General features: G+C 42.2%; 1 protein-coding gene across 34 annotated transcripts in view, besides 1 other annotated feature; it reads left to right on the top strand.

Annotated features, from left to right (window-relative positions):
* Window positions 1-15068, top strand: part of PRUNE2 (prune homolog 2 with BCH domain) — a 294739-nt gene that overhangs the window by 11343 nt on the left and 268328 nt on the right. Inside the window, exon 2 of one of the 34 annotated variants that reach the window (XM_047422885.1) lies at window positions 8377-8468. The exons of the other annotated variants lie outside the window; for them this stretch is intronic. The gene's annotated coding sequence lies outside the window, so the exon portion shown is untranslated. The remainder of the gene's footprint in view (window positions 1-8376; window positions 8469-15068) is intronic. 34 annotated transcript variants of the gene reach the window in all.
* Window positions 6413-7009: an enhancer, noted in NCBI's record as "OCT4-NANOG-H3K27ac hESC enhancer chr9:79502679-79503275 (GRCh37/hg19 assembly coordinates)". NCBI's record gives its function as "activates a minimal SCP1, AML or CMV promoter by ChIP-STARR-seq in naive H9 embryonic stem cells {active_cell/tissue: H9 hESC(naive)}" and the evidence as "EXISTENCE:reporter gene assay evidence [ECO:0000049][PMID:30033119]".

Raw genomic sequence — 15068 nt, 5'->3', positions numbered from 1 at the left:
CTGGGATTACAGGTGTGAGCCACCGTACCTGGCTGGTCCTTTTTTTTTTTTTTTGCTGCAGAAAATTAATGAAAGGGTGCAAAAAGAGAAAAGTGCATGTTGGCTTCCTCCTCTCCAGCAACAGCAGAGGCAGAAGATCATCCTGGAGGCAGAAGCATTTTGATCCTCTTTACATTCCTCAGACACATTTTCTGTAACAAGTGGTCAGTGGTGCTGGCCAGACCGGCACCTGGCTCTGAGAAGATAGAAATGTCACAGCATGTGGACAGATCAGCTGCTCCCTGCCACGGGTATGTCTGAGAGGACAGGACACGTGCCTGGCTGCTCCCTGAGAAGGCAGTGTCCCTGGTCCTCTCTCCAAGGAGGCAAGAAGGGGCAAATCCCGTTCTGTCCCCCATTCTTGATTCTTTACAGTTAAATATGTCCCTTGGCCCTTAGCAAGCTGGTTTGTTTTTCATGCGACACCTCCTGGTCAAACTATGGGGTATGATTCTCTCATCCTTCATTGGCTACAGTATAAAGAGACTTCTGGAGCTGCTTCCTTTTGGAGGACTGGATTCTTGCAAGGAAGGGTGGGCAGTCTTTTAGCCGATTCTTGTGGATTAATTTACAACTTTGATTCAGGTTTTGTTTTATCTTTTGAGTGTTTACCAAGATCATTGAGAGAACTCGTTTTTTCTCTTTAGATGGTGGGCAAATTGCAAGCATGGTCTTAAGAAATGTATATAGGTCACAGAAAAAGATAAACAAGAGGGAGACATTTTATTCCCTAGGTGAATCTTTCTTCTATTGTTTAATTATGAATCTGCTTTGCAAGACCCTAAAATAAAGCCATCCATGAAGCAAAGCAATTTTCGTGGCCCTGTGACTGATCATGTGCTTGCCACTTGGCTGATACCCCTGGACCGTGGCCTGAAGTGTCATTACTCTTGGCTCCAGTCTCCAGAAAACCCAGACATAAACTCACTGTGGTGGATGCAGATCAAAATGCCATCCCAGAGCTGGCTTTTAAAATGTTTTGAAAAATTCATTATCCCTCTAAGCCATTAGATCACTTTGAGCCTTATGGGGAACAAATGCATTTCTCACTTCTGTGGAATTCTTTCATGCCAAAATAGCCTCCTGACCAAGCGCAACATCTCTGTACAAATCAATTCATACACAAAGGGTTTCATAGGCTGGCATTTACGTAGATGGCTCTGATGAATCTCATAAACACTGAGCCACACTTGTTACAATTGGCCCCTTTGTTGGACTTCTGCTTTCAGCAGGATTTATATTCAGCCACCCTGATCACCATGTCACCCTGGGTACACTCTGACCCATCACTTCAGGGAGGGCTGTGGAAAACAGCCATCAGGGTTCCTTGTGTTTAAGTACAGCATTCTGTGGCCATCATCTTTTATTTACGATTTCTCGTTGTGTAACTGTGAGTTATTTTAACAATTATAGAATCACAGACCTTTACACTGGAAACTACTATAGAATCATAGGGGTTTTTTGTTATTGTTGTTTGTTTTGTTTTTAGAACCAGGGTCTCCTTCTGTTACGCAGGCTGGAGTGCAGTGGCAAGATCATGGCTCACTGAACCCTTGAACTTGTAGGCTCAAGCGATGCTCCCACCTCAGCCTCCCAAGTAGCTACGACTACAGGCATGTGCCACCAAGCCTTGGCTAACGTTTTGTTTTTTATTTTGTAGAGACAAGGTCTCATTATGTTGCCCAGGCTCGTCTCGAACTTTTGTCATGTTCTTTGTCATGAAGGATCTCAAGTGATCCTTCTGCCTAGGCCTCTCAAAATGTTGAAATTAGAGGTGTGAGCCACTGTGCCCAGCCTAATCACAGATTTTTAGCATTGAAACAGATGACTTTAGACATCTATTTCAGTTTCCTCATATTATATTTCAGGCTCAGTTTCTTTGTAAAATAATAAACAAGCAATAAGGTATATTTGGCAAATAGAGGAAAGCTGAAAAATTACCCATAAAAAGAAAAAATTAAAACTAAAAATAAAATCACCCACTTTCATTGAAGCATGACCTTTCGTGATAGTTTGGCAAGTAGTTTTCTCAGTCTTTCTTCCTTGTGCACAGGACTTAAGATATTTGTATATCTTGCAACCCCAATTTTTATTTTACTTAACATTATTTATTATTTTCCTAAGTTATTACATAGTATTCAAAATCAACATCTTAAATAATGGAGCACAGTTTAATAAAGAAGACCTACTGAGGTTAAACCTTTTCATTGTCCCTCCTTTTTGCTATTGTTAATTACTACGACAAACATCTTTGCACATAAAAACATTTTCTCCTGTTTAGAATTATGTCTTTAAACTGGCTTTCCAGTATGCAATGATTAGGGAAAAAGATATTAATATTCTTAAGCTTCTTTATACATCTTTTTAAATTGACTTCTGGGTGAACTCTTCCCAAATTTCAAGACTCAGAGAGGTTAACTAGTCCCACAGTACATTGTGACAGAGTCAGACATAGATTTGAGGTCTCTTGACCCTGAAGTCTACACCCCGACACGTTAGAGAATTTGTGCAGTATGAGGGAGAATGGTGTCCTGATGGTATACATTGTGGATCTGAGCAAATAACCTGAAGTGGCCTGCCTGCTGAGTTGAGACAAGCGTAACAGAAACTGTGCCACACCAGTTACAACTCTGCTAATGAGACCAGTAGGTAGAATCTGGCTGGGGGGGCTACTTTCTCTTTGTCTTTTCACTTCCTCTCTCAATTATTTCAAAAAGATTGAGCCTTATGGAACAGTAAAGCTATTGCTGCTCTGCTCGGTGTGGTCACTCGGAGCACAGTGTTGCCCTTCATAACTGTTGTCACCTACTTGATCTCATTTGATTAACCTTGAGGAGGGTTCATGTTATTATATTTATGTCACAAATGAAAAGAACAAGGCCAGAGAGGTTAAGTCCAGCCTTGCCCAGAGACACACAGCCAGTAAGTGGCAGAGGTGGGCGTAGATTCTCTGTCTTCTAATTCCCAGCATCTGTGCGAAGAAAAATTGATCTGTGTTTTCAAAAGATAGTTTGAAGGTCTCATTGAGAGCATAGTGGTTTGGATTCATCTACATAAAAGAAAATGTCCGAGTGAAAATACAGGGCACTTTTCTGAGAGGAGGCTATTCAACGGTGAAATCTATTCATCCTGATGCCGCTTTTCTTTGACACAGGAAAACATACGCATCAAGCTTTGGAGTTTCGTGTGATGGACTCTGATGTACAGTATGCAACTGTGAGATTAATGAATGTGTCACTGGTGGAAACATGCTGAGCCCAACAGGCTCTGGAGACTAAGTGTCACCTGTAATGGAAAGAAGGCACCTGAGAGGCAGGGTCTCTGGAGGGCCTGTGGGCATCACCTGACATGCCTGTAATGGGACAACAGGTGACTGGATGTCACTTATAGTCATTTCAGCTGAGAGTTCTCTGTAATGTGGGAAAGAAGTTTAATTGCCTATAACATCAACTCTTTCCCTGCTACAGAGCAGGTGTAATTCTGTCAAATTCTCTCTTCCAACCTCCTCATTCTCAGCTGTTTCTTCATTTGGATCATATTCATTAACTGCCCAAAAGCCTAAATGCATCCCACACTGATGCAATGGGGAGTAATTTTCGTTTAGTGCAGTTTGATATCACTGAAGCTAAATTCCGCTCTTTCAAAACTCTAAGAAGCACATAGATCTCCCTACCAATCTTTTGTATCACCATAGCATGACAAAGGCAACATGATTGCTAAAGCCAATATGCGCAAAGATGAAGATGCATCAGATGCATTGGCCTCTGGTGAGTGGTCCTGGGTTGCCTGTGTTTTCCAATCTTTCTTAAGCATTTGATTAATTCACGCTGGTGAATAAAGAAAACCGCAAACATAATTGAAAGAAAATCTAGGCAGCTGGAAGTCAAGGTTAGTTTGGACTTGTAATTCTGTATTGGTGAGAATTTTGGGTTGATACTTGCCCTGAAAACTTAATATGATTTTTTTTTTAGAGAAGTCTGTTGTCTAATTGGATGATTTGTGTACAGTATGATAATTCCTTTACAGACCCCGTGTTGGGAGGCTTCGGTATATGCCGAGGGAAGTAGACTTGGGATGATATTTCCTTGTAAATGTTGGGTGGGAGTGGAATCACTGACTCTGAGAGACTGATGTGATCTGCATAGTTGTTAAATCGTGCACACCTGCTAAATAATTAGCATGCTGTGGGGCAGGGGGTCCTGGAAGTAAATCCTTGCATGCCCCAATTTTTAGTTGTCCAACTCCTTTCTGAATATACTTCTGCTTTATTTTAAAGACAGAGCAGAAAGCATTGAGGGCCAGATAAGAGCAGTCAAATTAAGCTAGTATCTCACCATGACTGGTATCCCATGCTGGGTCTCCTCTCCTGTCCCCATTTCCTCAAAATATCTTTACACCACTTCTTATCCTTATCACTCCCCCTTCAGCATAGCCTGCTCTTGGTCAGCATGCCAGGGAGTTAACATCTATCAGTGTTTTCTGTGCAGCTACATATGTTATTTGACCTTCACCGTCATCCTCTGAGACAGGCATCATTATGCCCAGTTTGCAGAGCTGGAAACTGAGGCTCAAAGAGGTCAAGTAACTTGCTCTAGGGAACACAACTAATGAATGTTGGAGCTAAATTTCTGGTATGCCATTCCTGAGAGTCTTAGCTTATATTTCCACTTCAACAGACTGCAGGGACATAATATACTTACTTCAGGAAGAGTGGTCATTCCGGCAGCGCTCTTTAAACTTTAATGCCTATTGGAGTCACCTGGGAATCTCGCTGAAAGGCGGACTCTGATTCAGTACACTTTGGGGTAGAACCCGGGATTTTGCACTTCTAACAGGCTCTCAGGAGATGGCAATGCTGCTGTCCCCCAGAGCCCACAAATCTGAGTAGTGAGTGTCCAGAGCATTGATGAGCCAGGAGGCAGGAGCGGTGCATTAGAATCTGAGGGGGCTGCACAGCTGGGAGAAGGTGCCCTGCAGTGGAAGTGGCATGCTTCCCCCCGAGGAGGTGTGGCCTTGCTGCAATCACATTGTGGTGAGACGCCTGATGTGCCGCGTCTGTTGCTACTGTATTTCAGGTAAGATCATTGGTTTGGGAGGAAAAAAGAATCTTTTTGGCCAGACGAGGTGGGTCACACCTGTAATCCCAACACTTCGGGAGGCTGAGGCGGGAAGATCACTGGAGCACAGGAGTTTGAGACCAGCCAGGTCAACTTAGCGAGACCTCGTTTCTACTAAAAATCAAAAAGTAGCTGGGCTTAGTGGTGTGCACCTGTAGTCTCAGCTACTTGGGGGGCTGAGGCAAGAGGATTGCTTGAGCCTAGGAGGTCGAGGTTGTAGTGAGCCAAGATCATACCACTGCACTCCAGCCTAAACTCTGTCTCAAAAAAAAAAATCTGCAGTCACGCCACCATGCAGAGAGCCATGGGTTCTAATGACCCATAAAACAGGCCCTGCATGCAATACATATTTCTAATATGTATTAAAATTTCTTCATATCCCTTATGCTTTTCTCATACAAAACACAGGGCCTTGTGACTTCACAGTGCCTGGCAGCAAGGAAGGACCATAAATACGTTAAAACGACCGGGCACGGTGGGGTCATGCCTGAAATCCCAGCACTTTGGGAGGCTGAGGTGGGTGGATCACCTGAGGTCAGGAGTTCAGGAGTTCAAGACCAGCCTGGCCAACATGGTGAAACCCCGTCTCTACTAAAAACACAAAAACTAGCTGGGTGTGGTGACACATGCCTGTAATTCCAGCTACTTGAGAGGCTGAGGCAGGAGAATCGCTTGAACCTGGGAGGCGGAGGTTGAAGTGAGTGGAGATCATGCCACTGCACTTCAGCCTGTGTGACAGAGCGCGACTCCGTCTCAAAAACAACAACAACAACAAAAAACATTAACAGGCTGGAGGGAGAAGTAGAAGAGAACTGAAGGAACTGGCAGTCTTTTAGGGAGTGCAGAGCTTCTGACTGAGCTCTTTGAATGATCTCAGGAGGAGGAAAGCACACCACTCGCCCTACAGAAAACTTAATGTTGGAATGAAACTTTTCTTTCTTTTAAGACAAAACCATTCACAGTTCCCCTCAACACCTTTTGGTCTCTTTCTCTCTTTATCTAAATAATAATAATAATAATAGTTATTATTATTATTATTGAGATGGAGTCTCACTCTGTCACCCAGGCTGAAGTGCAGTGGTGCGACCTCGGCTCACTGCAACCTCCACCTCTCGGGTTCAAGCAATTCTCCTGCCTCAGACTCCTGAGTAGCTGGGATTACAGGCCTGCGCCACCACGCCCAGCTAATTTTTGTATTTTTAGTAAAGACAAGGTTTCACCATGTTGGCCAGGATGGTCTTGATCTCTTGACCCTGTGATCTGCCTGCCTTGGCCTCCCAAGGTGCTGGGATTACAGGCGTGAGCCACCGTGCCCAGCCATATCTAAATTATTTAAAATGTTTCTTCTCTTTATTTGATGCCATCTTCCCAGAAGTCCTTGTGACTGGATGGCCTTCGCGTTTGCTTTCTTGTCCCCACCGGCCCTATTGTTAGTGGTGCGTGGTTCCATGTGGTGCTTAGTTATTTATGGTCCTCCTTTATTATTCATGCCTTTCTTCCTTTGTTCATGGCTGTTGCTTAGTCACTGTGCTTCTCTGATGTGTTTTTGGTTCATGCTTCATTTCCTACTGCCCTTTTGTGCTTTTCTATTCCTTTTCCCTTAACACAGAATTCTGTTTCTCTTAACATAGTGGGGAGCCCGGAGTGGTTTGTGGAACTTTGTTTAGCTTGGGGATGGTCAGCAGGCATCATAGAGGTTTTAGGAATCATTTTAGGTGCGGTTCTTTATCAACTGTCTTTCACTAGGTTATGCCGTGGTAGCAAAAATCCCCAATGTCGGTGGCTTTCAGCATTAAAGGTCTATTTCCTGCTCATGTTACAAGTTGCTGAGGGTTAGCTGTGGCTCCAAGTGCCTTCTGCATTCTGGAATGTAGGCAAAAGGAGCAACAGCTGTCTGGGATATGCTGCTCTCATGGGTAGAAGAAGAGAGTTAGGGAGTTGGTAGGCTCCAGTAATCGTTCTTAAAGCTTCTGCTCAGAAATGGAATGAGCCACTTCCACTTTCTCTTCATCAGCCACAGCAAGCAAGTTACATGGCCAAGCCCAATAGCAGTGGGGTGGGAAGTATACTCTGCCCATGGGCAGGCACTGAAAGTTTTATGGCACCGTGCAGGGACGGATTATTGTCATTTACAGGAAGGAAAGTTAATAATTAGAAGTAATATTGCAATCTGCTACGTGGTGAGAGCTAGCATTCACCATCTGGTGGACACTGAACAGAACCACACTTGTATTCTGTTGATGGCCATATCAATGGGTAGATTGTGACCAATTAAAAACCTTAAAAAATAGGAGATTTGGGGGACAGTTTCAATTAATGAAAATCTCCAGTAGCTATTTAGTCATCTCTTATGCCTTCAGATGAGGGTTGAGCAGGGGTTGTTTTCATTTGGGATGACTTCAGGCTGCATCTATGTCCCAAGTTAGGAGTTTGGGGAAGCTAGGTGAATTCCTTTAGGTCACCAGGGAAGCATTTATGGAATATGACTGCCTGGAAGATCTTTTAAATTCTCTGTGCTTTAGTTTCTTCCCAATATAAGAAATATAAATTGGGACTAACAAAAGACGCTCCTTCATAAGGGATTCTGAAGATAAAGTTAGACAGCATATGTAAAGCTCTTAGACTATGTCTGGCACATAATCAGAATTTTTGAGTGAGTGCTCTAATGATGAGGATGATTTCTACTACTGTGATATCTCAACCCCTGGAAAACATATTGGGAATCCCCAAACCACCAGTTTTAGAGTCAATAGATAATCAGATTTATGTTCCTGAGTTAAAAATGTATTTATTAAGATAAATAAATAAAACCAAAATTAACCCAGAAAGTAGGGGCTTAAATTTCTGGCCTCTTGAAAAAACTAGCCACAATTTCTCTTAAAGACATTAATTTTTAGGTTGTGTGTTCACCCGCTTCAGTCATTGTGTGGAGTGAAAATCCTTTAAAATATGTTACATAAAGTTCTTGGTTTATTAGGTGAACACAGTGCATTTGGGGCTTGTTTGGGTGGGGAAGTTGTGTGGTTTGCTGGGAAATTCCAAGCAAGGGCAGAAAGGAGAGGCCTCCAGGCTTCTGTCCGGAAGTCAGTGGCTTGGCTTCAAGGGACAAGTCCTGGTAGAAATGGGTAAAGCTATGCAGGTTACTGCTGTGTGGGGTGTTTACTAGTGAACATAATGAGGCTTCTGGCCTGACAACTGTTTTTGTTTCACATCCCATCAGCTGAGCCTGAGAGCCTTAAGGTGAAAGGAAAAGAACAAGGGTCGTGGAATTAGAATGTCAAGTTCAGTTACTTCTCAGCTGTGTGAACTTGGGTATGTTCCTTAACCTCTTTGGGTCTTGGTTTATTCATAAATGTAATGCTATGTAATATTTATTCATCATGATCACGTGTAAGAGCATTGCATAAGTTCTTTTTTTTTTTTTTTTAATTTAGACGGAGTCTCGCTCTGTCGCCAGGCTGGAGTGCAGTGGCACGATCTCAGGTCACTGCAACCTCCGCCTCCTGGGTTCAAGCGATTCTCCTGACTCAGCCTCCCAAGTAGCTGGGACTACAGGTGTGTGCCACCATGCCCAGCTAATTTTTTTTTTTTTGTATTTTTAGTAGAGACGGGGTTTCGCCATGTTGGCCAGGATGGTCTTGATCTCTTGACCTCGTGATCTGGCCACCTTGGCCTCCCAAAGTGCTGGGATTATAGGCGTAAACCGCCGCACCCGGCCGCATTGCATAGATTCTTTACCCTAAAACTTAAAGTATAATAAAAAAAAAATTCACTAAATAATTTTATTTTCATAAAAGCCCTATTTGGTAGGTACTGTTATCCCCATTTTGCACATGGGGAAACTGAGGTAGAGAGGGGTGAGTAACTAGCTATACTCACAAAGGCAGGAAGGGGTGGAGTCAGGTTTTGAACCCAAGCAGTCGAACTCCAAAGTCTACATGCATAGCCATCGTACTTTGCTGCCCTTTGACACAGTCAGCCTGTCACCGGGGGTTGCCGCTCTGAAGAGTAAGTCTGTTCATTTCTTCTAAATCCTAGTCCACTGTTTATCATGTAGGAAGTAGATGCTCTGTAGACATTAATGGTTGTTTTCCTTCCCCTTTCCTATTTCCTTTCAGCTGTCCTGGTAGACCCAGGTAATCAGGACTTAGTGGGTGCCTAGGAATGGGGTGAGAGATCTTGAGCCCCAATTTTCCCTGGGCAAGATCTCACCTGACTCTCAAATTCACCTTGTCTCATTTATTGCATGAAACTTTCTTTCACTTTTTCAGCCTTTATAGCACCAAGCTAGAAGGCATTATGTCATCTTATAAAACAAACCCTAAATTGAAAGGAAGAATGGCCTAGTTTGGTGTCCCTCTCAGCACACACCATTATGTCTTCATATGAAGCCGCCTAGTCAAGTAATATGTGAATGAGTTTTACACATATTTTAAATCTGCTTTGGAGTTCATCTATCTTTAAAAATGTATTTGATTTTTTTCCCCCTTTATTCTGCATGGTTTCAAAGTGGGGAGCTCCTTACTCCTTCCCTTTGGGTAAATAACCTCTATGGTGAAAGGTGTGGCACACACAGATTGGCCGCTGTGAAAACCAGACACACCTCTTCAGTGATTCTGTTTCTGTTTCCTCTTACTGGTGGTTAGGTTCCAAATTGTCCCTGTGGCTGGTGCCATGTTCCAGAAGCAGAAATATGTCATGGAAAAAGTAATGGCTCCAGGGAATAATGAGAGGTGGGCTTTAGTGCTTTCCTTTCTAAGTAGGAGCTGTGTTACCTTAGCAAATAACTGGCCTTTTCTGGAATCCTGTTTCTTTAATTGCAAAACAAGGAGGCAGTGTTAGTTCAACTGTTCCAAACTAGGGACTCCAGGATTTTGAGATCTCCCATGCAGGGATCCATTTTAATATTTTAAAACTAGTAATGCCGTTCAATGGGAAATAAAAACTTTTAAGACATGGAGTCCACAGAGAAAGGAGAAAATGAAAGAGATCACTGGCAGTGGAAAGTTGGGGAACAAGAATCAGTTCTTATGTATTTTTCTTGCAGCACTGTGCACATAAAGTCCTTGGTTTATTAGGCCAATAAGGCATATGATTTAATCTCTAAGTCTTAGTCAATCAGACATATTATTTACATCTCCAAGTCTTAGTTTTCTCATCTGTTAAAATACGAGGATAGTATACAATCCATATTTGGGGTTCAGAAGTTTGTTGTGAAGATTAAATGCATTTGAAGCACTTAGCCAATGACGCTCAGTACACTGTGGCTATTTTTCTAGTTCTTCAGTGTGGGTTTAAATTTACCCAGAAGGGATATTTTAGATTAAACGAGCCCCCACCCGATTATGTTGTAAATTTCCTTAGCTCTAGGGTGGGGTTATTTGGGTTGCAGTGAAACCAGGGATGGAACAGTTAATCACCACTTCCTTAGGAACTATAACCCAAGTGTGCTTTGTGCAAGCCTTTCAGCAGGATAAACCATCAACTGGTTACATCTGGGCCCAACCAGAATAGGCAAATGGAGAGAGGAGAGAAGGGAGAGGGAAACAAACATGAGACCAAAGCCCCTGGAACAGACAAGGCATTCCTAGTCTTTGCTGTTTATTGCATACACACTCTCAGTGATAATTGCTACCATTTAACCAGGACTTACTATGTGCCAGGCACTGGGCTAAGCATGTCTCATATACTGTTTTAATTTTCTTAGACACTCTATGAGCCACTCTCCCATCCATTGGCCAAAGCAAGTCACAAGGCAAGTCTAGATTCAAGGGATGGAGAAAGAGACTTCTCTTGATGAGAGGAGCAACAACGTCACATGGAAGGGGCACAGATAAAGGGTGGGGCCACTTTTGTCAGTTTGCAAATCTCCACAGTATAAGTAGTAGAGAAGATGATGCATTTTCCTGGAATAACGTCTGCACCCAAGAAAAAGGGAGTCAGGCGTCAGTCAAGTGCCTCCTTGTGTCTGAAATTCCTCTCATTACAAAGAGTCCAAGAGGCAGTATAATGGAAATGTGGTACCATTGTTTGAACTACTCAGGAGCCATATTGTAACTATTTGGAGAATTTTGTGCTTCCTGAATTTACCCAGTTTCTCCTGTTCAAAACAAGCCCCAGGCTAAATGTCACTTATCTGTTATCCCAAAGCTCTGCTAAGTGCTACATGGTTAGTTTGGTATCCAAAGCTGCAGACATTTCTACCAGCTTTTCCAAGGTAGAGAGAACAAATAATGAATCTTAACTTCTAGAAGTAATCAATCCCTCAGCTTATTAATTCATGAAAGTGGTTGTTCAAGGTTGAACCCGAAAGGTGCGATGTTTTTTTACTGTGGGGAGTAAGATGGATTCTTGGACGACTCGAGGTTTTTTCTATTTGCAACTGACACTGGCTTTCTGTATTTAATAGTGACAATGTAGTTTTTGTGAAACAATTTTGCTATATGTAAAAGTGAGTCAACTAAAATGTGAGCAAATAATACAGGGGATCTATGGCCAGGGCAAAAACCACAAAGATGGTATGTGAATGATTCTTGGTAAATGGAGTCACGTATACAAAAGCTTGGAAAGGCAACCACCTAGTTGAGAAAATTGAGGCCTGAAAGAAAGAAAACTGAGGCCTGAAAGAGGAAGTGAGCTGCTGAAAGTACTATACCTAATAAAGAGCAGCTCTGGGCTTGGTTGCAGCCCTCCTGCCTCTAAATTATTTTTATCTCCCACTGTACCAAACTACTCATTTCCTCTAAACCAAAAACCCCAAGTAAACAAAAATTACCTCCATGCGTGACCTGGTTTGGATATGTGTCCCCACCAATTTCGTGTGGAATTGTAATCCCCATTGTTGGAGGGGGTGCCTGGTGGGAAGTGATTGGATCATGGGGGCAGATTTCTCATGAATGGTTTAGTACCATCCCCTGGTACGGCTCCTGTGATAGTGAGTGTGTTCTCATGAGATTTGGTCCTTTTAAAGTCTGTAGCACCTCCCCTCTCTCTCTCTTGCTCCTGTTCCCACCATGTGAGACGCTTTGCTCCCCGCTTTCTTTCCACCCACCTTGCCTTCCACCTTGATTAGAAATTTCCTGAGGCCTCCCTGGAAGCTGAGCAGATGCCAGCATCATGCTTCCTGTACAGCCTGCAGAAATGTGAGCCAATTAAACTTCTTTACCAGTCTCAAGTGTTTTTTCATAGCAATGCAAGAACGGCCTAATACAGTGTGCAAACACATATTTTATTAGGAAATGTTACAAAATGAATAATATTTCCTACCATTTACAGCTAAGCACTTTACATGCTTGGTGATGAGAATGGTAATTATAATCATCATATATGAGGTGAATGTTTACCTTAGTATTTGGGGGAGTTGCCTCATAATTTTTTCATGGACTTACCCTATAATCAAAAATAAATTTGTACACGAAATCTGTAAATATACTATGTATGCTTTGAGAAAAATATTACCTTATAAACACATACTCATATATCCACATTAGATTAGAGAGATTTTTCTTACCAGAAATCACATTTACCCTTGAAAGAATAGGTGAAGATTAATAAATTAAAAATAAATATATTAAATTAAATACTGATACATGGTACAATGTTGCTGAACCTCAAAAACATTATGCAAAGTGAAAGAAGCCAGTCATGAAAGATTACATATTGTATAATTCCTTTTATATGAAATGCCCAGAAAAGGGCCAGGTGCGGTGGCTCACACCTGTAATCCCAGCACTTTGGGAGGCCGAGGCGGGCAGATCACGAGGTCAGGAGTTCAAGACCAGCCTGGCCGATGTAGTGAAACCTCGTCTCTACTAAAAATACAAAAAAATAGCTGGGGATGGTGGTGCATGCCTGTAGTCCCAGCTACTCGGGAGGCTGAGGCAGGAGAATCACTTGAACCTGGGAGGTGGAGGTTGCAGTGAGCCAAGATCGTGCCACTGCACTCCAGCCTGGGTGACAGAGTGAGACTCCATCTTGGGGAAAAAAAAAAAAAAAGAAATGTCCAGAAAAGGCAAATCTATAGAGACGGATTGTAAATTGGTGGTTGCTGGGGCAATGGAGAATATGTATAGGGTGTCTTTTTGGATGATAAAAATGTTTAAGAAGTAGATAGAGTGGTAGTTGTCCAATATTGTGAATGGACTAAATTCCATTGAATTGTTCACTTTAAAATGGTTAATTTTATGTTATGTAAATTTCACTTCAATTAAAAATAACATATATATGTGTGTACTTACTCATATATACTCATAAACAACCCCATGCATGGCATTTTTATTATTTTATTAGTATAGTGCTTCTCAAACGTTTTGGTCTTAGATCCCTTTCCACTCTTAAAAATTAATGAGGAAGCCAGGCTCGGTGGCTCACGCCTGTAATCACAGCACTTTGGGAGGCCAAGGCGGGTGGATCACGAGGTCAGGAGTTCGAGACCAGCCTGGCCAATATGGTGAAACCCTGTCTCTACTAAAAATACAAAAATTAGCTGGGTATGGTGGCGCACGCCTGTAGTCCCAGGTACTTGGGAGGCTGAAGAAGAAAAATCGCTTGAACCCAGGGGGAGGGAGGTGGAGGTTGCAGTGAGTCTAGACCACACAACTGCACTCCAGCCTGGGCGATAGAGCGAGACTCCGTCTCAAAAAAAAAAAAAAAAAAATTAACAAGGATGTCCCAGAGCTTCTATTTGTGTGTGTTATATTTATCAATATTTACCATATTAGAAATGAAAAATGGGAAAAAATTATTTATTTTTTAATTTGTTAAAAATAACATAAACATGTTTCATGTTAACAAAATAACATTTTATTTAAAATAACTATATTTTCCAAAACAAATACATCTTAGTGAGCAGCAGCTAGTTCAGCTCACAATTCAAATAATCGCACAATTGCTTTTACTTCTAGATAATGCTTCGTCTTCAAAATGCAAAAGACATGCTTTATGCGTACTTCCCATTTGATCACAGAGTATTAAAAAATATGTGTGTACTCAAGGTTTGGGATTTAATTAAATTAATTTATTTTTTAATGTTTCATTGAGGAAATTCACAAGTGAAACTAGCAATTTTGGTCCTGTGAGGTCACAGCTGTGAAGAGTACAGTGACTACTAGCATAATTTGATAGATTAAGGCTCTGGCAGTTTTACTCACCACTGCTTTTGTGCAGACGTCTACCCAGCAAAAAAGCCATCAGTACAAATGTCTACACAGCAAAAAAGGCAAATAGTGTCTTCTAATTTTCATGAAAATAGATTTGACTTCACAGACCTTCTCAAAGTTACCCAGGGACCCCCCTGCGGTCTGAGGACCACAAATGAAGGACTTTGATTCCTCACAGTGAAGTACAGGAATTGTGAATTATGTGTACTTAAAACATGGATGGCTTTAAAAAATGACAGGCCTCTGGCCAGGCATGGTGGCTCACGCCTGTAATCCCAGCACTTTGGGAGGCCGAGGAGGGCGGATCACAAGGTCAGGAGATCGAGACCATCCTGGCTAACACGGTGAAACTCTGTCTCTATTAAAAATACAAACAATTAGCCGGGCGTGGTGGCGCGTGCCTGTAGTCCCAGCTACTCGGGAGGCTGAGGCAGGAGAATGGCATGAACACCAGAGGCGGAGCTTGCAGTGAGTCGAGATTGCACCACTGCACTCCAGCCTGGGTGGCAGAGTGAGACTCCGTCTCAAAAAAAAAAAAAAAAAAAAAAAAAAAATATATATATATATATATATATATATGACAGGCCTCTTTCTTACAGAACTGAGTAATCTTTACAGTGGAAATAAAAAACGGGGCCTTGTGTTAATCAGATTTCAGATCTTCTTTTTTGATATACCTCCACCTCAGGGTCTTTGCTGTACCCTTTGCTGAGAATGCTTCTCTTCCAAATGTGCAACAAACCCTCCCGCACTT

The sequence above is a fragment of the Homo sapiens genome, chromosome 9, assembly GCF_000001405.40.
Source record: "Homo sapiens chromosome 9, GRCh38.p14 Primary Assembly".
Classification (NCBI taxonomy): Eukaryota; Metazoa; Chordata; class Mammalia; order Primates; family Hominidae; genus Homo; species Homo sapiens.
Note: the sequence above shows the minus strand (reverse complement) of the source record. Positions and strands in the feature narration are given on the sequence as shown.